General features: G+C 42.6%; 1 protein-coding gene across 3 annotated transcripts, besides 1 other annotated feature; it reads left to right on the top strand.

The window, feature by feature from the left end:
* Positions 5,963-21,585, top strand: RNASEL (ribonuclease L). 3 transcript variants are annotated; one of them, NM_021133.4, is made up of 7 exons: positions 5,963-6,052; positions 8,249-9,892; positions 11,053-11,138; positions 12,961-13,166; positions 13,862-13,994; positions 18,830-18,963; positions 19,641-21,585. In NM_021133.4, exons 2-7 carry the CDS (start codon positions 8,413-8,415, stop codon positions 19,825-19,827), a joined length of 2,226 nt encoding a protein of 741 aa, NP_066956.1. In that variant the 5' UTR covers positions 5,963-6,052; positions 8,249-8,412; the 3' UTR covers positions 19,828-21,585. The 3 variants fall into 3 exon arrangements, with proteins under 3 accessions (NP_066956.1, XP_047283052.1, XP_047283062.1); XM_047427096.1 differs by lacking the exon at positions 19,641-21,585 and adding an exon at positions 15,212-15,261 and having other exon boundaries at positions 18,830-18,949; XM_047427106.1 differs by lacking the exons at positions 18,830-18,963; positions 19,641-21,585 and adding an exon at positions 15,212-15,265.
* Positions 6,088-6,247: an enhancer, noted in NCBI's record as "active region_2198". NCBI's record gives its function as "activates an Ori minimal core promoter by ATAC-STARR-seq in GM12878 lymphoblastoid cells {active_cell/tissue: GM12878}" and the evidence as "EXISTENCE:reporter gene assay evidence [ECO:0000049][PMID:35858748]".

Below are 26,589 nucleotides of genomic sequence, written 5' to 3'. Positions count from 1 at the left end.
TTTTAAATTGGTCCAGTTATTCAAATTGCTTTAAGGAAGAAAAGAAAGACTTGAAACTTACATAACTGAGGTGTGCTCCTGAGGGTAAGAGATATACGGCGGTTAGGCGCTGGATAATGGAGTTGGAGTCCCCATCATTTAGAAAAGATGTTTCTTGATTCACAGTGTTGGTGATTTTCAAGCTTTGATCTGTAACCTGGAGAATGATTTAATTTAATCTTTGAGAAAAGCAACAATGTGTGGATTAATCTTATGATTGTAATGGGATGCCACTTAAGGGACAGTTCCGTGCCGGGGAGGAGAATTGCCTTAGCTCAGTTAATCTCACAGTTCCAAGGCGCAGCCTCACAGGCAGCGTGGTATAACCTAATCATGGAGTCAGCAGGCTCGGAAGTTAGGCAACTGAATTAAGTTCCACATCTGCTATTTATCAGCTGAGTAAACTGCAGCACATTACTCAATTTCTCAGAGCCTCACTTTTTCCTGTAAAATGTGAATAACAATAATATTATCTTCATAGGACTTTTGTGATGACAATGAGAACATTTAGGAAAAATATTTATCATAGCACTTAAAAGTAAGTGTTCAAAAATGGTAGCTGCTTGTATGTGGCAGGCAATGTTCTAAGTCCTTCGCGTATGTTAATTTCTGTAATCCTCATGATACTCCTATGAGTTAGCTACTATTATTATCATCCTCATTATATAGACACAGAAATCAAGGCCTAGAAAGTTTAAGTAAATTGCCCAAATTCAAAGAGCTAGCAAGTAGCTATGTCAGTTAGCCATTGCTACATAACATCAAACCATTCCAAACCATTCTCATATTACTGATGTGAGCACATCAGTGTAATCTTTCTTTCTTTCTTTCTTTTTTCTTTCTTTCTTTCTTTCTTTCTTTCTTTCTTTCTTTCGTTCTTTCTTTCTTTCTTTCTTCCTTCCTTCCTTTCTTTCTTCTTTCTTTCTTTTTTTCTTTCTTCTTTTCTTTTCTTTCTTTCTTTCTTTCTTCTTTTCTTTTCTTTCTTTTCTTTTCTCTCTTTCTTTCTTCTTTTTCTTTTTGAGACAGGGTCTCATTCTGTCACCCAGGCTGGAGTGCAGTGATCAATTCGACCCCATTGTCTTCTCACCAAGATCCAAGAAGGGCTTTTGGCAAGTAAAATGCAATTTATTCCTAAGCTTAGAGAAAATCTCTGCAGTCCCAGCGATCTTTCTTGTCAAAGGAAGGAAAGGTTAAGAACATTGCTTAATTCTAACATCTTGAGTGTGGGAAGGAGGGAGCCAGAGGGAAGGAGGAAGGTATCCTTACATTTCACCTTGGCCTTGGTTTCTCTCTCCATGTTCCCAGCCTGGAATTCGCATCCACTGCTGGGAGGGGTCTCTTCTGCTCTTGGTGATTCTGTCTTCAGAGTCTGGGCCTCTGAACCAGCAGCGACTGGGGTCTCTTTGTGGACAGACTGATCTCTCCTTCTGCCAGGACTGTTGTCAGACTCCACCTGTCTCTTGGGGCACCCCCCTCCTTGATACTCCTGGCTCCCATGGAACAAAACAATTCTGCAGAATGCCAACAATAATTGATGATGTTGTCCTATGACTACAGTGGAACAAGACAGAAATAAGGCCACTTCTTAATGAGGACTGAACACGAGGTGAAGAAAAGATGCCATACCACCATAAAAGTAACCAACACCCCCTCTCCTGGGTAACATGAGCCACCTGTTCCTTGAGCAGTGACAGTGCTAGCTACACTTTGTTCCTCCTGATTCCTAGATGATCATAATGAAGGCACCAAAGTGCTTCTGCTTCCTGACACCACCCAATTGAGAACAAACCTCTATTTCCTTAAACCCTTCCCCAAATCACCTGACAAAAAGCTCAAACCCTAAAATAAGTATCCTGATTCCCTTTTAGAAGATATCCTGGGGCTGGGTGGAATGGCTCACATCTATAATCTCAGTGCTTTGGGAGCACAAAGCTGGAGGATTGCTTGAAGCCAGGAGTTCAAAATCAGCCTGGGCAACACAGTGAGAACCCATCTCTACAAAAAATTTTAAAAATTAGCCGGGCATGGTGGTGCATGCCTCACAATGGGTCCTAGTTATTTGGGAGGCTGAGGCAGGAGGTTCACTTGAGCCCAGGAAGTTGAGGTTGCAATGAGCTATATGATCTATATGATTGTGCCACTGCACTCCAGCCTGGGTGGCACAGCAAGATCATGTCTCTTAAAAAAAAAAAAAAAAAGCAGGGCGCAGTGGCTCATGCCCATAATCCCAGCACTTTGGGAGGCTGAGGTGGGCGAATCACAAGGTCAGGAGTTCGAGACCAGCCTGGCCAACATGATGAAACCCTGTCTGTACTAAAAATACAGAAAAATTAGCTGGGCGTGGTGGCAGGCACCTGTAATCCTAGCTATTCGGGAGGCTGAGGCAGGAGAATCGCTTGAACCCAGGAGGCAGCAGTTGCAGTGAACCGAGATCACACCACTGCACTCCAGCCCAGGTGACAGTCCAAGACTCCATCTCAAAAAAAAAAAAAAAAATACTCTGCAGTTCCTGGGATGAGTCCTCCCTCGCTGTAGTTGGTAATACACTTGCCTTGGTTTCACTGTAGGTATGATTCTGCTCACTAGACTTTAACATATGTCATTATGACCAGAAAGGTCAGCATTCTCCAAGAGTTTTTACCAAATCATCTGTTCAGGACAAACTAACATCCACTGTTACCACTATGCTACCACCCTGGTCTGGGCCACCGTTGACTCTCAGCTGGATTATTGCAATAGCCTTCTAACGGATTTTCCAACTTCTCCCTTTGCTTTCAATCCCCAGATTCTTCTCAGCACAGGACTGATTAAGATCCTCTAAAAAAAAAGCCATGGAGATCATGTTACTCCTCTGCTCCAATACTCCAATGGCTACCATGTTGTTTAGTGTGGAAGCCAAAAGCCTTACAACGGGCCCTAAGGTCGCGCCTGACCTGAACCTCTGCTTATCAACTCCCCTCCCTCACTCTGCTCCAGCCTCACTGGCCTCCTTGCTGCTGCTTGTTCCCACCAGGCATGCTCCCACCTCAGGACCTGTGTGCTTGCTGTTTCCTCTGTCTGCTGTGTTCTTGGTGCAGACATCTGCATAGCCTGTTGCTGCATCTTCCGCAAGTCTTTGCTCAAACGTCACCTTCTGAACAAGACCCTTCCCGACTACTTTGTTTAATATCCCCATCCCCATCCTGGCACTTTTAACCCTCCTTATTCTATCTTAATATTTTCTGTAGATTTGTTGCCTACAATACACTACATGATTTACTTATTTTGTTCATTATCTTGCTTCAGTAAGAATGGGGGCAGGGGCTGGGCATGGTGGGTCACACCTGTAATCCCAGAACTTTGGGAGGCCGAGGTGGGTGGATAACTCGAGGTCAGGAGTTCGAGACCAGCCTGGCCAACATGGTGAAACCCTGTTTCTACTAAAAATACAAAAATTAGCCAGGCATGGTGGCTCATGCTTGTAATTCCAGCTACTTGGGAGGCTGGGGCACGAGAATCACTTGAACCTGGGAGGTGGAGGTTGTGGTGAGCCGAGATCACACCACTGCACTCCAGCCTGGGTGACAGAGCAAGACTCCATCTCAAAAAACTCACACCTGTAATCCCAGCACTTTGGGAGGCTGAGGTGGATGGATAATGAGGTCGGGAGTTTGAGACCAGCCTGACCAACGTGGTGAAACCCCATCTCTACTAAAAATACAAAAATTAGCTGGATGTGGTGGTGTGTGCCTGTAATCCCAGCTCCTCAGGAGGCTAAGGCAAGAGAATCGCTTGAACCCAGGAGACAGAGGTTTCAGTGAGCCAAGATCGCGCCACTGCACTCCAGCCTGGGTGACAGAGTGAGACTCCGTCTTGAAAAGAAAAAAAAAAAGAAAAGAATGGGGACAAGCTGTTTCTCTGTGATGTTCAGTGATATAGATCAAATCCTTAGAGCAAGTTACTTAACCACTTTATGCTTCAGTTTTCTTATCTGCAAAACGGAGACAAAAATAGTATATACATCATAAGGATAAGATTAAATAATTTAATACATATATAAAGTGTTCAGAACAGTTCCTGGACCATATTAAAGAGCTATGTAAATGTTTGTCATTATTAACAGAATCATCCACATTTTCATCACTCTTACTAATATCATTAGTTCTGGTAGCAAGGCAGCATAGGTCAAGATATAGAGGTAGAAGCATATGACATAATGTGACAAGGAACTGGAGGCTAGCACTGATGATGCCCATGAGGAGTAGGGACAGGCAGGGACTGTATTATAACCTGAAATCATGATATGTTGGGTTTTTCAACTGTTTATGATCTATTTCTGCCTATTAAGATGCAAGCTCCTAGAAGAACTCTGTGAGGAACTGGTGTGGTAAATCATTCTATGCCAGATATGCAGAATAGTCACTGGTAACATAGTCAGTGCTCAATAAGTTTTTTTTTTTTTTTTGAGACGGAGTCTTGCTCTGTCATCCAGGCTGGAGTGTAGTGGTACTATGTTGGCTCACTTCAACCTCCACCTCCCGGGTTCGAGCAATTCTCCTGCCTCAGCCTCCCGAGTAGCTGGGATTACAGGTGCACAACACCACACCTGGCTACTTTTTGTATTTTTAGTAGAGACGCGGTTTCACCATGTTGGCCAGGCTGGTCTTGAACTCCTGAACTCAGGTGATCTGCCTGCCTTGGCCTCCCAAAGTGCTGGGATTACAGGTGTGAGCCACCACGCCTGTCCAACAAGTATTAATTAAATGAATAATGGGTTAAGGATTTTTGAACTTTGTCCTGAAAATGATGGTGGGTCAATGATGCAGGGTGGAACAATGGATGAAGGGCTAGGAAGCAAGTCATCAATTTCTTGCTATAAATGATGACAAGGACTCGAATGGTCATCCCTTTGTAGATGAAAGCAAGAGACTTGGTGTTGGGATGAGGATGAGGGGTGGCCTCCGGGTGATGGTGCCATCTGTGGAGATGGAATAAGTGGGAGGAGGGGCAGATTTAGGAAAAGATGAGTATTTCCATTTGACACATATTCAAGATTTGTAGGTCTAAAGCTCAGCAGAGAGGCTGGGGTTAGAGAGCGAGGCCTGGGAATCCCTGGTGTATAAGGGGTGGTAGAGGCCCCGGGTCTGGATGGTGTGACACAGGTGGTCGTCAAGTGACCATGCACTACTTGTTGTTCACAAGTCCCAGGGCTTTGTCTCCCCAGCAAGACTGGGTATTCTTTGGGGATGGAAATACTTTCCACTACAGCACTAAGTACACAGTACACAGCTCATTGCTAGGAAGATAGTCAAGAACAGAACTTGTAGAGCAGAAAGGAACCTTCAAAACCAAGTTATAGGAGAGAACTGAGGCCCTACATGGTTAAATCACATGCCTGAGGTCACTCAGCTAAGCAGCCACAGAGCTGGCTGTAGGATCAGGTCTCCAGACTGCCAGTCCGGTACCCTTCTGAGAAGGCCGCACTGCCTCAGAGCTGTGAGTTGAGTGAGCTGAGAAAGGTGACAGGGCTTGGGCTTTGGGCTTACTTAGCTTCTATGAGCCTGCGTTTCATAATCAACAAGATTGTCAGGGGTTAACTGGGACCATGCTGCATGTAAAGCATTGTGTCTGGAACACAATAGGTGCTCAATATGTGTTTACTTTCCATTCCTTTCTTCCAAGAAGACCAGAATTTGCAATGACAAAGAAAGGATGCAAGAGTGATGGATGCAGTTGGCTGCTGCCACCTGAAAGGCTGCAAGACTGAGAGGTGAGTGACATGACCCCGGGCATCACATTCCTCATCAGCAGACAGAAAGTGGCTATTGCTTTCCTCCAGAAGGTGTGCAAGTAGAAGCTTTGCTCCTGGTGCCAGAGTGAGCCTGTGGCTGCTTTCCCTCCCACACTCCTCACTCCTTTCTTGGCTCCGCCCTGCTGACTCAGTGACGCAGCAGGAGGAAACTGCTCGGGCTGCAAGCAGTCTTCCAGGCTTTGCGGCTGCCAAAGGAATAATTGAGACGTCTGAGTTGAGCAGGTAAGGCAGGCAGAAGGAGGAAAGCTAGAAAACCTCGATAAGTCGATCCTGAAGAATTCTTGGGCTTTGGAGACTGGAGAGGCCAGGGGCTGGAGGACTTGGGAAGTGGGAGGGGAGCTCCCAGCCCTTGGCTGCCCGGAAGGATCTTCCTCCAGTGCCCTTCCAGAGTTCTGTCAGAGTCCACACGTCATTTATCCATGTCCTCAGTTTCTCAGGCATCTCTTTGCGACTTACTCAGGTCGCACAGAGAAAGTGAAATTGAAAGCAGGATTGTCTGTTGGAGTACTTCCGCAGGCTCGTCTCTTCTCTACTCTGATGCGTCACTCAGGGCTTCCTTGATATTTCCTCTCCTTCCCGGCTCCTTTGTTTATACCAGCCCACCTCACATCTGATTGTAATGGGGACGGTCTACACAAACACTTTGGTTCAAAGATTTCATTGCCTGGTGATCGTGTATGTGTTGCACAATTAATTAAACTTCTAAGAGGCTAATCAATTAACCTCTGAGGCTTTGAAACTGTCAGAGTGGTGAGATTGCTGAAAAAGGGTTGCTTCGTGAATTCTATAGCAGATGCAGTTATTTAAATATTCAGGTAACAGTTTCGGGCTGTCTGATGATTGAACTGGATCTGTAATTCTCAGATCTGATTGACAGTTGGACGAAATTGATAGCTGCCAGTTGCCTATTCGTGTAGTAGCTATATGCACATGTGTAGGGAGAATAGAATTCACTAAGCAATTTATTTTTTCATAACGGGATATAATTAGCTCTAACATTCATTGAGTGGCTAATATTTGCAACACTCCATACTTTAATGTACTTTACACACATGACTGTATTTATTTTTGTCTCCATTTCAGGAAATAGAAAATTGAGATTCAACAATCCAAGGTTACAGGAAGTAATAGTAAAAAATTACACAGCCACAAGCTCAAACTTAGATCTCCCTAAGGTCAGAGTACAAGCTCTTTTCACTACTGCAGATACTCCTTGACTTATGATGGGGTTACATACAGATAAACCCATCCTAAATTGAAAATATTGTAGGTCAAAAGCACATTTAATACACCTAATCTACTGAACGTCATAGCTTATCCTAGCTTACCTTAAATGTGCTCAGAACACTTACATTAGGCTACAGTTGGGCAAAATCATCTAGCTCAAAGCTTATTTTATAATAAAGTGTTAAATGTCTCATGTATTTATCGAATGCTATGCTGAAATAAAAAACAGAATGGTTGTATGTGTACTTGAAGTGTGGTTTCTACTGAATGTTTATTGCTTTTCCACCACTGCAAAGTCAAAAAATCATAAATCAAAGTCAAAAAACATAAGTCAGATATTGTCTGTACTTTAAATAGGGGCACAGGGTTGTACAAAGAGGACATGCACAGAGTCAGCAAACACAGTGATCAACCTTCCTGGTGACATAAGAAATGCAAAGGGAAAAAAAGCCAAGAAATATATTTTTCTTATTGAATGAGGGTTCTTCTTTTTTTATTGATAAATAATTGATGTGCATATTTTCATGGTCTTTTTTTTTTTTTTTTGGAAGCCACCTATCTCTGGTAAGAATATATTTATATGACATTGAAAGCAATTTGTTAATATAGGTTAAGAATCCTAAATACAATCATATCTTTTGAATAGTCATTAAATTCTTTGAAGTCTATCATATGAAATCTATCATAAGATCTATCGAAAGAAAATAAACTAAAATAAGCTGAATTTGCTGCAACATCATTTAGATTTTTTAAATTTTTAATTTTAAAAAACCCTTTAAAACTTATTTTTGAAAACCACTCAGTAATAGAGAAATGAAACAACTGTATGATTTCATATTACATAGTCATGAAAAATGTTTTACAAGACTTTGCAATAACACAGGAAATGACTTATAGTATGGTATTAAATGAAAGGAAGTAGGATACAGTTACTTACAGAGTATAATTCCAAATGTCTTAAAAAATATATAGAAATACACTAAAATATTAACATTGGCTGTTTCTGGGCATTGGGACTAGAGAAATAATTTTCTTATTTTGAATTTACATATATTTATAATATTCTGTAATTTAAAAGTTTTATAAGAAATAAATATATGTATTTAGAAAAAATGCTAATATAATTAATTTCTCTGATTCAAGTGTTTTCTCCCTATTGTAAAATTACAAAGCACCTCTCTTCGTTGCCAGGTGGAATGTCAGAAGACTGAGAACATTGTTCCTTCTTCATACTGCTGCTCTGTTGCCAGAGAATCCCAATTTACACTCAAAGCTTCTTTGATTAAGTGCTAGGAGATAAATTTGCATTTTCTCAAGGAAAAGGCTAAAAGTGGTAGCAGGTGGCATTTACCGTCATGGAGAGCAGGGATCATAACAACCCCCAGGAGGGACCCACGTCCTCCAGCGGTAGAAGGGCTGCAGTGGAAGACAATCACTTGCTGATTAAAGCTGTTCAAAACGAAGATGTTGACCTGGTCCAGCAATTGCTGGAAGGTGGAGCCAATGTTAATTTCCAGGAAGAGGAAGGGGGCTGGACACCTCTGCATAACGCAGTACAAATGAGCAGGGAGGACATTGTGGAACTTCTGCTTCGTCATGGTGCTGACCCTGTTCTGAGGAAGAAGAATGGGGCCACGCCTTTTATCCTCGCAGCGATTGCGGGGAGCGTGAAGCTGCTGAAACTTTTCCTTTCTAAAGGAGCAGATGTCAATGAGTGTGATTTTTATGGCTTCACAGCCTTCATGGAAGCCGCTGTGTATGGTAAGGTCAAAGCCCTAAAATTCCTTTATAAGAGAGGAGCAAATGTGAATTTGAGGCGAAAGACAAAGGAGGATCAAGAGCGGCTGAGGAAAGGAGGGGCCACAGCTCTCATGGACGCTGCTGAAAAAGGACACGTAGAGGTCTTGAAGATTCTCCTTGATGAGATGGGGGCAGATGTAAACGCCTGTGACAATATGGGCAGAAATGCCTTGATCCATGCTCTCCTGAGCTCTGACGATAGTGATGTGGAGGCTATTACGCATCTGCTGCTGGACCATGGGGCTGATGTCAATGTGAGGGGAGAAAGAGGGAAGACTCCCCTGATCCTGGCAGTGGAGAAGAAGCACTTGGGTTTGGTGCAGAGGCTTCTGGAGCAAGAGCACATAGAGATTAATGACACAGACAGTGATGGCAAAACAGCACTGCTGCTTGCTGTTGAACTCAAACTGAAGAAAATCGCCGAGTTGCTGTGCAAACGTGGAGCCAGTACAGATTGTGGGGATCTTGTTATGACAGCGAGGCGGAATTATGACCATTCCCTTGTGAAGGTTCTTCTCTCTCATGGAGCCAAAGAAGATTTTCACCCTCCTGCTGAAGACTGGAAGCCTCAGAGCTCACACTGGGGGGCAGCCCTGAAGGATCTCCACAGAATATACCGCCCTATGATTGGCAAACTCAAGTTCTTTATTGATGAAAAATACAAAATTGCTGATACTTCAGAAGGAGGCATCTACCTGGGGTTCTATGAGAAGCAAGAAGTAGCTGTGAAGACGTTCTGTGAGGGCAGCCCACGTGCACAGCGGGAAGTCTCTTGTCTGCAAAGCAGCCGAGAGAACAGTCACTTGGTGACATTCTATGGGAGTGAGAGCCACAGGGGCCACTTGTTTGTGTGTGTCACCCTCTGTGAGCAGACTCTGGAAGCGTGTTTGGATGTGCACAGAGGGGAAGATGTGGAAAATGAGGAAGATGAATTTGCCCGAAATGTCCTGTCATCTATATTTAAGGCTGTTCAAGAACTACACTTGTCCTGTGGATACACCCACCAGGATCTGCAACCACAAAACATCTTAATAGGTGAGTCCCCAATCCCCAATTCTCTCTTAGAAATTGTGGGATCTTTGTTTATGATAGGAAAAGTTTTTCATTGCAGAGAGGAAAGGCCTAGAGTAAATGTGGATGATTCAATTTGTGGATCATTATTACAACAAATTCATAATTACAGTGCAGTGTCTCCTGCTACCAATTATAACTGGGTTCTGTTAGTCTACATGAAGGTTGGTAGATGCCAACAGAATACCAGGCTAGCCTTAGATTGCCATTGGCAAAATAAACAGATGAAGGCATGTCATGGATCAAAGTAGCTCCAGAAATCTGAGAATCCTAGAGGTGAGTTCCTTCAGACAAGGTGGCAGTAACCATGAAACTTACTGACAAAATTGAGGTCAAAGTTGAGGATGTCAGGACAAGATGTGACGTAGTGAAGACACAGACTCCAAGGCAGAACAAGTCAGAATCCACTAGTCCAAGCCAAACAAAGGGAAGGAAAATAGCATTTTCTTTTAAATGTTAAAAGAAAAGCAAGGCTGACCGTAAAGTCCCAGGAAGCAATATGGTGCGGGGGAGCAAGCCAGGGCTTCAGCGATGATTAGGGTGGCTTGAAGCCTAGTCTCACTAGTTTGTAGTTTTGTAACCTCAGACAAGTCACTTGATACTGTGAGCCTCAGTTCCTCACTTGAGGCTGATAATGCCTCCTTCGTAAGTTTGTTATGAGGTCTAAGTGCAATGATGAAATAGTAAGTCATTTGGTACATCATAGGTGCTCAGGAAAGGCTGTTCTTGCCTGAAAGGTCTAAGCAGAGTACATACCTTATCCATAGACATGCACTGAGATTTAAGCTCAGTGTAAGGGAACAGCTCCTTTACAAATCTGTGCTTTCGGCCCCTGGAATTGCATGAACGAGGAGCTGGTTAAATTTGTCCTCATCCCTTCCTACCCCCTGGCCTGGAAAAAATAAAATGTAAGTGCTGCTCTTGGCAGATACCTAACAGATCAAATGAAACAGTGCACATGGCAGTGTTTTGAGGGGTGAATGGCAAATACAGATATAAGGTTTATTATTGCCTTCCACAGAGATGATGATTTTTATAGCATGTTACATATTTATATAAATCAATTGACTCTCACTTTATGGAGAATGAGTATTTTCAATGTGCCTCTGCAAACTTTTCCTTAGATTCTAAGAAAGCTGCTCACCTGGCAGATTTTGATAAGAGCATCAAGTGGGCTGGAGATCCACAGGAAGTCAAGAGAGATCTAGAGGTAAATTCTACAATCCAGTTTACCTTTCTTCTTTCTGCTTCCTTATTCTTTCATGTAGTAGTCAGGGTTCTCTAGAGGGACAGAACTAGTAGGACATATGTATATATGAAAGGGAGTTTATTAAGGAGAATTGACTCACACGGTCACAACATAAAGTCCCATAATAAGCCATCTGCAAGTTGAGGAACAAGGAAGCCAGTGATGGGTCAGTCTGAGTACCAAAACCTCAAAAGTAGGGAAGCCGACAGTGCAGCCTTCAGTCTGTGGCCAAAGGCCTGAAAGCCCCTGGCAAACCACTGGTGTAAGTCCAAAACTCCATAAGCTGAAGAACTTGGATACTGATGTTTGAGGGCAGGAAGCATCCAGCACGGGAGAAAGATGAAGGCCAGAAGTCTTAGCAAGTTGTCTGCTCTTTCATTTTCTGCCTGCTTTATTTTAGCCATGCTGGCAGCTGATTAGATGGTGCCCACCGTGACTGAATGTGGGTCTGCCTCTCCCAGTCCACTGACTCAAATGTTGCTCTCCTTCGGCAACACCCTCACAGACACACCCAGTCACAATACTTTGTATCCTTCAACTCAATCAAGTTGACACTCAATATTAACCGTCACAGTTCATTACCTTATTTCCTATGGGCAATTGGAGGGCATTCTATTTTAACCAGGAAAAAAAGAATGTTCAAGGCTTTCCCCATCTTGCTCACTGTCCTGACTCCCCTGTAGGCCATGGCATTTCCTTGGGCTTCTCCCGCAGCAGAGCTTTCAAGATGACAATGGGAAGGTGCAACAGCTTGGGTCGGTGTGGAGTTGGCTGTCACTGTGGACCCTTACTGTATCTCTTTGAATCTCTCTTCCTCCACTACCTTAATAAGTAAATAAACTGAGCATGCCACATCTTCTCTCCAGGAGAGAATTTCAAATATCTCCAATATTCATTGAGGAGTTATTTTTCTACCTAGGAACAAAGTAAGTGAGGTTTCTTTCACCACAAACTCAAACTCGTGGGCTACACTCTGCAGAAGGCTGGATACTAAGGTTCTCTGAAAACTCCTGGGAGGAGTGAGGTCAATTCCCAGCTTGAAAGAACCTAAGCTTGGCCAAAAAGATGAGGACTCTGAAATAGCTGTTGCTCCTGAGGGGACATGGAGATTGGCCGCTGTAGACCAAAGCCCCCAGGCTGATTCTGACCCTGTCAGGGTAGGTCTTTCCTGGAGAGTTTTACAGGGTGCTGCACTTTCAACCCAGTGGGTGAGACTCTCCACCCATATGTCTGGCCTCCTGGTTTGGTGGCATCAGATTTCAGCTCCCTCCTTGACTGGTGGCTAGTGCAAAGAGTTCCTTAGGCGACCTTCTTCTTGGCCTTTCCTCCTGGCCACGGCCTAATCCCTGGGGTCATCACTTTGCCTCTCCTGGCCTGGACTGACTTTTTTATTTGCTGCGTGACATAGCCTCAGACCCAAAGTCCCAGTTTCCAGCCAGGCTGTCAGTTCTCCCTGTGTTTAAAGCATTCTCCCTTTCCTCAATTTATCTATATTCTGTCCATACATTTGAGGCCCAGCTCAAATCTCTCTTCCTCCAAGCAGTCTGCCCTAACAACTGTGACTTATATGTATCTTTTACTCTTCATAAAACTAAGTGGTATGGGCGATATACTGCCTTGAAGAGGTCTGTATGCACACATCTGTGCCTTCCCTCCCTAACAAGCCTACAAATTCCTTGAGATTCCTCCCATCATCTTGTTTGCTAATAGCGTGCACCACTCCTTCCAGGGTTACCCAAATAATTAGTAAGCATCTTTGGCTTGATTTATGGCTTTTGTGCAGGACCTTGGACGGCTGGTCCTCTATGTGGTAAAGAAGGGAAGCATCTCATTTGAGGATCTGAAAGCTCAAAGTAATGAAGAGGTGGTTCAACTTTCTCCAGATGAGGAAACTAAGGACCTCATTCATCGTCTCTTCCATCCTGGGGAACATGTGAGGGACTGTCTGAGTGACCTGCTGGGTCATCCCTTCTTTTGGACTTGGGAGAGGTAAGTAAAACTTTGTGCAGATGCCACAGGCCTCCAGGATGGAAAGGGTAAGGTGGTGCAGACAGAAGTCTGGGCTGCAAATCAGGAGACCCAGGCTTTTTTCTTAGCTTGGGATTTACTGGCTGTGTGTCCTTGGAGAGATGACTTAACCTCTCTGGAGTCTGCTTTTCATTTCTGAAGAATAAGGAGGGGAAAAAAAGAGATGCTTGCCTCTCCTATCATGCAGAATTTTTGAAGACATGGTTGTATTACTTTTATTAAAAACCAAAATCTAGCCAGGCGCGGTGGCTCACGCCTGTAATCCCAGCACTTTGGGAGGCCGAGGCGGGTGGATCATGAGGTCAGGAGTTCCAGACCAGCCTGGTCAGCATGGTGAAACCCCGTCTCTACTAAAAATACAAAAGTTAGCCGAGTGTGGTGGCAGGTGCCTGTAATGTCACCTACTTGGGAAGCTGAGGCAGGAGAATTGCTTGAACCCGGGAGGTGGAGGTTGCAGTGAGCCAAGATTGCGCTACTGCACTCCAGCTTGGGGGACAGAGCGAGACTCCATCTCAAAAAAAAAAAAAAAAAAAAAAAAAAGAAAGAAAAACCAAGAAAGCACAAAAAACACCAAAATCTAACGGTTTTCTTTTTCTGGAAAAGGAAAGGGAGGGATGGGATGATCATGATCATTTAGATCATTTAGTCATCTTCAGCCGCTATAGGACGCTTCGGAATGTGGGAAATGAATCCGACATCAAAACACGAAAATCTGAAAGTGAGATCCTCAGACTACTGCAACCTGGGCCTTCTGAACATTCCAAAAGTTTTGACAAGTGGACGACTAAGGTATGAACAATTCCTATAGTGCAGGGGTTAGTCCAGGAATAAGAATTTGTGTAATGTTTTATGTTAGTTTTTCTATCTTATTTTACACCAGTGGCAAACCAGAGGCTCAAAGAGGTGATTTTGCCTCCTGCCCTCCCATCCCTATCCCCCTAGGCTCCCTGCCGGGGTGTCTACTTCTACTTTCAGAAGCTGGCCCTCCCTCTCTCCCATTCAGACCCATGCCCCTCTGATAGACTGTTATTCAGGCTCCCCCTGGATGGCCTTATCCCAGCCCATGAGCCTTTCCCTCACTTAGCTGATAATCCTATTGCCATTATGGCACGAGCAGCTGACTAAATAGAGCTTAATCCAAGGGAAGTGCTTCACCATGAGGTGTTTCAGTCCAGGTACAGCCTGGCTGCCTCCACTGCCTGTAAACAGCCCAGCTCTCAGGATCCACACACAGACCTACATTCTGCCTGAGGAAATAGACTATGAAGGAAAGATGATCTTTCAAATTGCTCTCTTTAAGAAAAGTTCCACCTAACTTGCATTAATTATAGTGGAACTCTACAAAATTAGTCATCATCTCAATCTAGTCAGTACTGTCAGAACTTTCATTATTAATTAACAAACATCTATACAATACCAATTATGTGCTAGGCCCATGCAAGGCCTTGAGCATACAAAGCAGAATACAATGTGTCCCTGTGGGGCTGAGAAGCCCATGGAAATGATGCTGTGGGATGTGTGCTGGGCATCCCAGGGACATGTGCAAAGCACTATGGGAGAACCCATAATCTTCAGGTCTTGGAAACCAACAGCTTCCTATCCTAGACCTGACCTGGGACTCTGCTTCTCCTAATTCTTGTTTTGCTTTCCTTCCCTCACTGGTCTCTAGACTGCACATCACACTCATAATTACTGGCTTACGGTCCATTTTCCTTGCTAGACTGTAAGTTCCATGAAGGCAGAGACTACCCATTGTCTTGTCAGTTATTGTATCCCTGGCATGGAGTAGATGTGCCATGACTCTTTACTAAATGAATGTCTATCAAACTTTGGCTAAAATTTTAACTTGTAGAAACAAAGAAATTTGAAAGCAGCTATGATAGTGATAGCTAATGATTACGTAGTATCATTATGATTATGTGGCAGCCATAGTTCTTGAGACTTTACATGAGTTACCACATTTAATCTTTAGCACAACTTCTGAGACAATCATCTATATTTTGCAGATGAGCAAGCTGAGGCACAGACAAATAATTTTTCCAACTACACAGAACCAGTAAGGGGTGCACCAGGATTTGAAGCTGGGAAGGATGGCTGCAGAGGCCATGTGCTTAAGCCACACCACTACATGAAGCTGTGATGGCATCAAGTCTACCAACTCATTTACTCACTGAGGAAATTGAGGCTCAGAGACCACACTCAAATTACTCATGCTGGACAGTCAGAGATTGGCAGACCTGGAAAGAGGAACTTGTTCTTTTATTTCCCAATTTATTGGTTCTTTTCCCTAAATTCCATGGGCTTATATTGAATTTTGATAGTCTTCAGGTTTTAACTTCAAGTTTTACCTTTTAATTCCCATTTTACACTTTGTTTTTCTGTTGACTTGCCCATTTTCATGGTCACACAATTAATTTTGTCAGCATAGGTCTGGAGCCCAAGTTTTCCAGCTTGTATGACTGTATTGGTTCTTGACTTGCCCCATCCTGCCACACATACGTGCTTGGCGTTTCTCACGGGTGTTCTGCACAGAGTGCACCTGGCCAGTCTCAGCAGCATCCTCACTAGCATTGCTCTTTCATCAGTTACTCTTCCTAAGTGACCCACTGGATTCTTGACTGTTGCATCTTGATCTCGTAGCCCAAACTCTTTCTAAATATGAGAGCCATCTATGGCTCTGTATCTATGAGGGTGACAAGCACAGACAAAGAGGATGACATTACTGTGATATGAAAGGAGTTGCCCTGGGACACCTGCAGGCAAGGAGAAGCAAGTAACCTTGTTTAAAATATAAATTTTAGAGGGTACTAGTATAGTTTTGTTACATGGATATATTGTGTAGTGGTAAAGTTGGGCTTTTAGTGTAACCATTACCTGAATAACGCACATTGTACCCATTAAGTAATTTCTCATCCCTCTCCCTCCAACCCTCCCACCTTTCCAAGTCTCCAATTATATTATTCCACTCTGTACATCCATGTGTACACATTATTGAGCTCCCACTTATAAGAGAGAACATGTGATATTTGACTTTCTGTTTGTAAGTCATTTCACTTAAAATAATGGCCTCCAGTTCCGTCCATGTGGCCACAAAAGACATGATTTCATTCTTCTTTTTTATGGCTGAAATGGCCCAGACACATTTTCTTTATCCAATCATCTGTTGATGGACACTTAGGTGGATTCCATATCTTTGCTATTGTGAATAGTGCTGTAGTAAACATATGAGTGCCGGTATCTTTTTGATATAAGATTTCTTGGGCTGAGTGCAGTGGCTCACACCTGTAATCCCAGCACTTTGGGAGGCCGAGATGGGTGGATCATTTGAGGTCAGGAGTTTAAGACCAGCCTGGCCAACATGGCAAAACCCTGTCTCTACTAAAAATACAAAACTTAGCCAAGCATTGTGGCACACGTCTGTAATCCCAGCTACTTGGGCGGCTGAGGCATGAGAATTGCTTCAGCCTGTGAAGCAGAGGTTACAGCTTTATTTTGGCAGATACTCAGTACATTCTTTTCTCTGCATCCTCATCAACATCTGTTACTTTTTGACTTTTTAATAGTAGCCCCTAGTATAAGATGATATCTCATTGGTTTTAATTTGCATTTCTCTGATGATTAGTGATGTTAAGCATTTTTTCATATGCTTTTTGGCAATTTGTACGTCTTCTTTTGAGAAATGTCTATTCTTGTCATTTGCCCACTTTTTAATGGTGTTATTATTTTTTATTGTTAAGTTGTTTGAGTTCCTTGTAAATTCTGGATATCAATCCTCTGTTGGATGCATAGTTTGCAAATATTTTTTTTCCCATGCTGCAGGTTGTTTGTTCACTCTGTTTATTTCTTTTGCTGCGCAGAAGTTTTTAGTTTAATTAAACCCCATCTGTTTCTTTATTTTCATTGCTTGTGCTTTTGGGGTCTTAGTCATGAATTCTTTGCCTAGACCAATGTCCAGAAGAGTTTTTCCTAGGTTTTCTTTTAGTATTTTTATAGTTTCAGGTCTTACATTTAAGTCTTTAATCCATCTTGAGTTGATTTTTGTATACACTGAGAGAGAGAGGTCTAGTTTTAATCTTCTACATATGGCAGTCTAATTTTCCCAGCACCACTTACTGAATAGGGTGTCTTTTTCCCAGTGTATGTTTTTGCCGACTTTGTCTAAGATCAGTTGGTTGTAGATATGTGGCTTTATTTGTGGCTTCTGTATTCTGTTCCATTGATCTATGTGTCTATTTTTATACCAGTACTGTGCTGTTTTGGTTATCTTAGCCTTGCACAATAATTGGAGGTATATCATAATGTGATGCCTCCAACTTTGTTTTTTTTTCCTTAAGATGCCTGTGGCTATTTGGGCTCTTTTTTGGTTTCATGTGAATTTTAGGATTTTTTCTCTAATTCTGTGAAAAATGATGTTGGTATTTTGATAGGGATTGCATTGAATCTGTAGATTGCTTTGGGCGGGGTGATCACTTTAACAATATTAGTTATTCCTTTTGGAAATATACCTAAAAAAACAAAAACAAACAAACAAAACCGTTCACTTTGGCCATGGTTGCCAGGCCCAGTTTCAGTCTGAATAGCCCTTTTAAAGAAAGACATGTAATCAAGTACGAATTTGAAAGGGTGGCCACAGGATAAAAATATTGTATAGTATAATGAACGACTTTCCTAGTATAGTAGTCAAAGATTTTTTAACCATATTTTAATATATTTAATTTCTTATGAAAACAATTTACTTGGAAAATACAGACACACATTTGAACATACTTATAATCTCACATCCAGACACAATTATATATATAGTTTTAATTTTAAAATTTTTTTAATTTTTTTGCCAGGTGTGGCGGCTCACACCTGTAATCCCAGCACTTTGGGGGCCAAGGTGGGTGGATCACGAGGTCAGGAGTTTGAGACCAGCCTGGCCAACATGGTGAAACCCTGTCTCTACTAAAAATACAAAAAAAAAAAAATTAGCTGGGCATAGTGGCGGGTGCCTGTAATCCCAGCTACTCGGGAGGCTGAGGCAGGAGAATCGCTTGAACCCGGGAGGCGGAGGTTGCAGTGAGCCAAGATCGCACCACTGTACTCCAGCCCTGGTGACAGAGTGAGACTCCGTCTTGAAAAAAAAAAAATTATTTTTTTGAGATGGAGTCTTGCTCTGTTACTGAGACCGGAGTGCAGTGGTGCGATCTCAGCTCTCTGCAACCTCCACCTCCCAGGTTCAAGTGACTCTCCTGCCTCAGTCTCCCAAGTAGCTGGGATTACAGGCAGCGCCACCACGCCTGGCTAATTTTTTAGCAGAAACTTTTAGTAGAAACGAGGTTTCACTGTGTTGGCCAGGCTGGTCTCAATCTCCTGACCTCAGGTGATCCGCCCATTTCGGCCTCTGAAAGTGCTGGGACTACAGATGTGAGCCACCCCACCCAGCCCAGACACAATTATAGTTAGCATTTTGGTATACAGCATTTACTTCCATTTTTAAATTATTTTGCTTTATTAATTAGTTGGTAATTATAGAATATATGAATATATTCAAATTTATATTTTGCCTTTTGGTATGAATATTTCATCAGGATTTATTTTGTGTTGCTACCACATTTTTGTGTTATTTTTTGTTTTTTTAGATTAATGAATGTGTTATGAAAAAAATGAATAAGTTTTATGAAAAAAGAGGCAATTTCTACCAGAACACTGTGGGTGATCTGCTAAAGTTCATCCGGAATTTGGGAGAACACATTGATGAAGAAAAGCATAAAAAGTAAGTATTGTTTTCATTCCTACAAATTATATGTGAAATGAGAACAATTTAAAAAATCCAATTCTAAGTTTATATCTACGATGGAAAAAAGAAAATTTATTTTGATGAAAGAAAAGTAATTCCTTCCCTCTGTGTGTAAAAGGGCTATCACTGTTGCCTTACAATTAATGAGGGACATGTCCAGCAGGCTTTCATCTTCCTTGTCATTTTTTTGTTGGATAAATGGTAAAACAAATTGAACAGGAGCTAGTGACTCCCTTCTGTGAAGTAACACAGGAGACTGGACAGCTAGATAAAGTGAAGGTAGAGTTATATACGTCTAAAAATAGCCCACATTAGTTAGATCAGCTTTTGCTGACAAAGATGTTAGTTGCAAACTCACAAAAAAGCCTTGCAGTTCAGGGCTCTTCTGGATTTTGGAATTGTAGGTAGAGGATTGTGGCATTGCACTATTTCCATTTTATGAAAGAACAATCTAAAGTTCAGAAAGATTGTGGCCAAAGGTTGCACAATTAGTTGAAGAGTCAGGGGAGGAGTCTTGCTCTGTCAGATTCCAAAGTCCTTATTCATTCTGCAATAGAAATCAAGCGAGCAAAGAGATCTTCAGGGCCATATGCTGTGAAGCGGGGAAGAATAATTTGGGGCAAGCATGCTGAACAATTTGTGTTTTATTTCAGGATGAAATTAAAAATTGGAGACCCTTCCCTGTATTTTCAGAAGACATTTCCAGATCTGGTGATCTATGTCTACACAAAACTACAGAACACAGAATATAGAAAGCATTTCCCCCAAACCCACAGTCCAAACAAGCCTCAGTGTGATGGAGCTGGTGGGGCCAGTGGGTTGGCCAGCCCTGGGTGCTGATGGACTGATTTGCTGGAGTTCAGGGAACTACTTATTAGCTGTAGAGTCCTTGGCAAATCACAACATTCTGGGCCTTTTAACTCACCAGGTTGCTTGTGAGGGATGAGTTGCATAGCTGATATGTCAGTCCCTGGCATCGTGTATTCCATATGTCTATAACAAAAGCAATATATACCCAGACTACACTAGTCCATAAGCTTTACCCACTAACTGGGAGGACATTCTGCTAAGATTCCTTTTGTCAATTGCACCAAAAGAATGAGTGCCTTGACCCCTAATGCTGCATATGTTACAATTCTCTCACTTAATTTTCCCAATGATCTTGCAAAACAGGGATTATCATCCCCATTTAAGAACTGAGGAACCTGAGACTCAGAGAGTGTGAGCTACTGGCCCAAGATTATTCAATTTATACCTAGCACTTTATAAATTTATGTGGTGTTATTGGTACCTCTCATTTGGGCACCTTAAAACTTAACTATCCTTCCAGGGCTCTTCCAGATGAGGCCCAAAACATATATAGGGGTTCCAGGAATCTCATTCATTCATTCAGTATTTATTGAGCATCTAGTATAAGTCTGGGCACTGGATGCATGAATTCCACTCCTTCCAGAACCAACTGCATTGGTTTTCCATGACCTTAAGGCAGTAGTTCTCAACTGGGGGGCAATTTTGCACTGAAGAGAGCATTTGGCAGAGTCTGAAGAAGTTTTTGGTGTCACAGCTTTGTGGGGAGCATGCTATGGCATTTAGTGGGTAAAGACCAGGGATGCTGCCAAACCTGCCTTGCACAGGACAGCCCCTGCAACAAAGAATTATCCAGACAAAAATATCAATGGTGCTGAGGTTGAGAAAACCTGACTTAAGGGGCTGGGATGCTTTTGAACTAGCTTAAGGCCCAGGACTGTGGAGTGTGTGGACCACCCCACAGAGGAGGGACTCAGATTTATTTACTCTTGCTGGATCTGTAGTGATGGAGTTCCTTCTGGTGTCAGCCCCACAGGAGGCTCCCAGGCCTCCCTCACTTCCCATACCCAGTCTAGGAGCTCCTTCTGGCTCCCAAGCACCCAGAGCTTTCCTCCGCCTTTTAGTTTTGGTTCCTCCACTGGAATGTAGGCTCCTCACGGGCGATGGCTGTCTTTTCTTGACTTTGTATCTTCACTGCCAAGCAAAAAGTCTGCCAAGTGGGAATGTTTAATAAATATTCATTGAATAATGAATGAACCATCTTCGTACATGAATAATAATACTGTCTTACGTTTTTCTGGTGCTTTATAATGTATACATTACATCTGAGTATTTTATTTTATTTAATTTTCAAAACAATCCTTTAAGGTCAACATTGTTATCCCTATTTTGCTGATGAGGAAACTAAGGTTAGAAACATTTTGATTTCCTCTAGGACGTATAGCTAGGAAGTGTTACTATCTTGATTTGAACAAATTTTCTGGTGCTAAGTCTGATGTTCTTTCCATGAATCATTGTGGTGGTTGAGATGGAGCTTTGTAATGGGAATAAAACAGTACCTTAGGTTCTTTCTGAAAAGGAGGTATCTAGCAATGGATAAATAGATACCACTGAATGAAATTAAATGTTGATTAGGAACAAATTTAAGGCTTAAAAAATACTTTATGAGCAGCAAGATTGCTTTAACTTTTAAAATGAAGCTTTGGTTCTCTGATTTGTAATGAGCACCTGGACATGTCAATTAAAATGCCCATTTGTGAAGCTTACTCAATAAAACTTTAAATTGTCTTATTTAGTCTGATTTTCTTTAAGTGACATTTCCACTTTAAGGAGTGGGTGATATCTACAATAGAAAATATTCACTAAGTAATTCCTGGATAAGTTTTAAGAAAGGTCATCCTGCTGTCTGAAAATGGGAAAAGGAGTTATTTTTGACTTTCTAGTAATTCTGGAATAATGTGGGCCTAGTATGTAGTGAGAGAAGGGAGGAAATGATCATTTTTCCGTCTGCTTGAATTCTCTGAGAGTTTCTGTTGACATTCTGCAAACATTTCTCATTCAGTTGTCATCGTCACAAACATTTCATTGAGCATGTGGTTCATATCAGGTCCTGTATTAGGCAGGCTGATTCTGTACTCTTGCTCAGGGGTAAAAGCTCTATCCCTGTGTGCTTTACTCAGCAGTTGGTGGCATTTACCTGTCTCTCCAATAAGCCTGGGAGGGCAGAGATCATATCCCATTTCCTCACTTGGTGCCTGGTGTGTTATAAGTGTGTAGTGTATTTAAGTTATAAGATACTCCTTGAATTCACTGGTTGAGAAGAACCTTTAACATTTGATTTTTGGTGGGTCTTTGCTGGAGCTGCAGCCTGGGAGAGAGGTAAGTCTTGGAGCCGACCCCTGGGCAGCTCTTCCGTTCTCTACCCCACAAGCTTTAGGACACAGTGGGCTTTCAAGATGATTTGGGTAAAGAACAGCACAACCTTCCTCTGGAGGAGACCCTGGGAAATTCAGCTTTCCTTTTTCCTTTCTGTGGAGATTTTCTCTTAGGCTTGCCTAAGTGCCTAGTACAGTGCCTGGCATGTACTATGCACCCAGTTTTACTTGTTGCTGTTCTTAATTACTGCTATATAGTGAATTGTGTCCCTCCCAAGTTCATACATTGAAGCCCTAACCCCCCAATGTGTTAGTATTTGAAGATGGGGGTCTTTGAGAGGTAATTAGTGTTGGATGAGGTCATGAGGATAGGGCCCTCATGTTGGGATTAATGACCTCATAAGAAGACAGAAAGAGCTCTCCTTTCTCACTGCCTTATGAGCACACAGAAAGAAAGTGTCCATCTGCAAGCCACAATGAGAGTCTTCACCAGGACCCCAAGAGACAAAAGTGACTAAGACAATCACCATAGGCTTGCAGCAAATGTTTATGCTCCTCTGGTCTTCTCCTATCACATGAACAGATTTTTTTTTTTTTTTTTTTTGAGATGGAGTCTCGCTCTGTCGCCCAGGCTGGAGTGCAGTGGTGCAATCTCAGCTTACTGCAAGCTCCACCTCCCAGGTTCACACCATTCTCCTGCCTCAGCCTCCCCAGCAGCTGGGACTACAGGCACCTGCCACCAAGCCTGGCTAATTTTTTTGTATTTTTAGTAGAGACAGGGTTTTACCATGTTAGCCAGGATGGTCTCGATCTCCTGACCTCGTGATCCACCTGCCTCGGCCTCCCAAAGTGCTGGGATTACAGGCATGAGCCTCAGCACCCGGCCATATTTTTTTTTTTAAAAGGAATGTTTTTTCATCACTTCCACAGTGTTTTTCATTTGTGTAAACTTTTCATTGCTTTATGGCCTATTTGCTTAGACTAAGACCAAAAGATGGGCCAGGCATGGTGGCTTACATCTGTAGTCCCTGCATTTTGGGAGGCTGAGGTAGGCAGACCACTTGAGATCAGGAGTTCAAGAAAAGCCTGGGCAACAAGGTGAAACCCTGTCTCTACTAAAAATGAAAAAAAAAAAAAAATTAGCCAGATCTGGCGGCATGTGCCTGTGGTCCCAGCTACTTGGGAGGCTGAGATGAGAGGATAGCTTGAGCCTGGGAGGCAGAGGTTGCAGTGCGCAGAGATCAGGCCACTGCACTCCAGCCGGGGCAACAGAGCCAGACTCTGTCTCAAAAACAAACAAACAAAAGAGCCTGCCAAGACCAGCTCGGTCGGGGAGACCCTAACCCCATGGCGCTAGAGGAATTAAAGACACACACACAGAAATATAGAGGTGTGGAGTGGGAAATCAGGGGTCTCACAGCCTGCAGAGCTGAGAGCCCTGAACAGAGATTTACCCATGTATTTATGAACACAAGCCAGTGATAAGCATTGTTTCTATAGATTATGGATTAACTAAAAGTATTCCTTATGGGAAATAAAGGGATGGGCTGAAATAAAGGAATGGGCTCTGGCTAGTTATCTGCAGCAGGAGCATGTCCTTAAGGCACAGATCGCTCATGATATTGTTTGTGATTTAAGAACGCCTTTAAGCAGTTTTCCACCCTGGGTGGGCCAGGTATTCCTTGCCCTCATTCCAGTAAACCCAAAACCTTCCAGTGCGGGCATCATGGCCACCATGAACATGTCACAGTGCTGCAGAGATTTTGTTTATGGCCAATTTGGGGGCCAGTTTATGGCCAGATTTTGGGGGGCCTGTTCCCAACAAGACCCAAAGATGGTACTAACAAGAGGAGAGAAGTGGGTGGGGAAAAAGCAAAGTAATTGGATTTTTTGAGGCTGTAGAACACCATCAACAGGAGTCTATGTTGATAATATTTATATTTAATATTATTTATTAATAATATTTATTCAAAAATAATAACATAACATTACTATGTTAGCCACTAATATTGGCCTATAAAAATTTAACCCACGAATCTTGAAGTGATTTGATGTCCACAGCAGGAGTGAACCCAAAGCAATGAGAGACATAAACACAGAGAATTTCACTTTCTGCTCACTGAACATTCTTCTTGAGAATCAAGTCTTTTAAAAAATACATTTTGTGAAACTGAATAATTAGCGAAGACTTTGTTTAGCTCTTTTAACAGGGACCAAATGACTGTGACTCAGACAAGGTAGAAGATTATGTGTCTTTCATGTTAATGCCTCAGCTGTTCAGCAGACCAGGAAGTAGGAAGTTACGCTCCATAAGTCAGTGAACAAATAAGACCAAAATCCCTGTCCTCATGAGGTGGGAGCAGGGTGGGGAAGAAAACCAACATCCATAAGGACAGAGTATACTAGAGGGTAATAGTAAGCAGGAAGAAAGTTAAGCAAGGTAAGAGTTGGTAGTTAGGGAAAGTAGATTAAATTTAAAGACGGGGGTCAGGTGGACCGCATCAAGAGGGAGCCTACCAAGTGAAACTGCAAGGAAGCAAAAGAGCAAGCTGTGGAGGTATCTGAGGGAAAGCAAACAGAGGGGACGGATAGTCAGTTCAGAGGCCCTGGGGCCTGTTCATACCTGAGCTGTTTGAGGAGCACAAAAGCATGGTTGCCATACAGAGTGAGCAAAGACCAGCAAGAAGAAGGGAAGACAGAGGGGTCAGGGAACCAGGGAGGGAGGGCCCCAAAGCACATGGAAGGGTTTGGGTTTTTACTGAGATGGGAAGCCCTCAGTGGACTGTGGGCAGAGGAGTGGCATGATGTAGCTTAACACTTAAAAGAATCACTCTGGGTCCTCTGTGAACAGAAAGCAGAGGGCAAGAGTAAAAACAGGAAGATCAGTTAGGAGACTATTAAATAGTTTGTGCAAAGACTTTAGTAGCCGATGCTGGGTGACGGCAGTGAGGTTGACTTCAAGTGGGCAGGCAGACTGGGGATGTATTTTGAAGGTAGAGCCAACAGGATTTACTGACAGAGTGAGATATGGTGTGAGAGAGACGAGTCCAGGACAATTGTCAGCATTTTGGCCTTGAGTGACTGGAGGAGTAGGGCTGCTATTAAATGGAGGTGGAAAGGCTTCCAGAGGAGCAGGTTTAGAGGGAAGACCAAGAGTTTCATTTGGGACATGACAAAAGTGATATTTCTAATAGACGTTTAAGTGGAGATGTCATATAGGGTTAGATGTGTGGATCAGGAGTTCAGGGAGATTGGCTGGGGAGAAATTCGTGAGTCATCTAATGATAGTATTAAAGGCCTTGCAATGAGAAATGATTATTGAATGAGTGTAGGAAGAAAATAACAGGGAGAAAGAGGAAGAGAGGTCAAATAGTTACTTCCATCACTTCTGCCTACATTCCTTTGGGCGGAATTCAGCTACATGTCTTTACCCAGCTGCAAGGGAGGTTGGGGAATGAAGTTTCTGCTTGGGTAACCAGGGGCGCAGCTAAAATGTAGGGGGTTCTATTACTAAAAATATGAAGAGGAGAAGGGAAATAAGAAGAGGAACAGTTAGCAGTGGCTTCCAATTTGGTGTTTTTATGATGCATCTAATGAAAAAAGGGAACAGAAGACAGAGAAAAAAGTGACAACAATAGGAAGAACAAGAAGATGGGACTGGGGAGAGAAAGTTGAGGGAAAGGAGGGAGGGGGGAAATATGAAGGCGGGAATGCAGAGGAGTATGAGTATATGAGGAAAAGAGAAGAGGTGAAGTAGGATAGAAAGAGGAGAAAAAAGTTTAGGGAGGCGTAGAGGAGGGAGGAAAAAGGGGATGGAGAAGTGTGACAAAAAATAAAAAGACAAGAGATTAAAGTGGAAGCAAAGAGAAGGGGTAGCAAATACATTCTAGAAAGGGGGCAACATAGTGAAACCCCACCTAAAAAAAATAGCTGTGGTGGTGTGAGCCTGAGACTACAGTGAGCCATGATCATGTCATTGAGCTCTGGCCTGGGCAACAGAGTGGGACCCTGTCTCAACAAACAAACAAACAAGCAAACAAATAAAAATCGAAAGGAGAAATTTGCCTTACAGGCATCTGCCAGTTACCCACATCTGAGTGGAAATTGAGGCTTATGTTTTACCAGTTTTTATACTTGAATTAATCTCACTGATATGCAGTAAGTACTGGCTGTGTGCTGGGCCCTGAACACATAGAGCTGAGGGAGCTTTTTTTCACTTCCCGTAAAGAACAGAACAGCAAAATAGCACCTGTAGGGTGTTACTTTTTAAAAAATCTTGGGTAAATGATGTGGGTTGAAAAAGACCAGAAGCAAAAAAAGTTGAACTTTAAGACATAAGGCAATTTAAAAATGAGTAATCAAATGTATTATAAGTTTAATAGTTGTGTCCTGTGAGAAACCCAATTATGTTATAATTCAT

Source organism: Homo sapiens, chromosome 1 (assembly GCF_000001405.40).
Source record: "Homo sapiens chromosome 1, GRCh38.p14 Primary Assembly".
NCBI classification, from domain to species: Eukaryota; Metazoa; Chordata; class Mammalia; order Primates; family Hominidae; genus Homo; species Homo sapiens.
The sequence above is the reverse complement of the archived record's forward strand: the minus strand, read 5'-3'. Positions and strand labels throughout refer to the sequence as shown.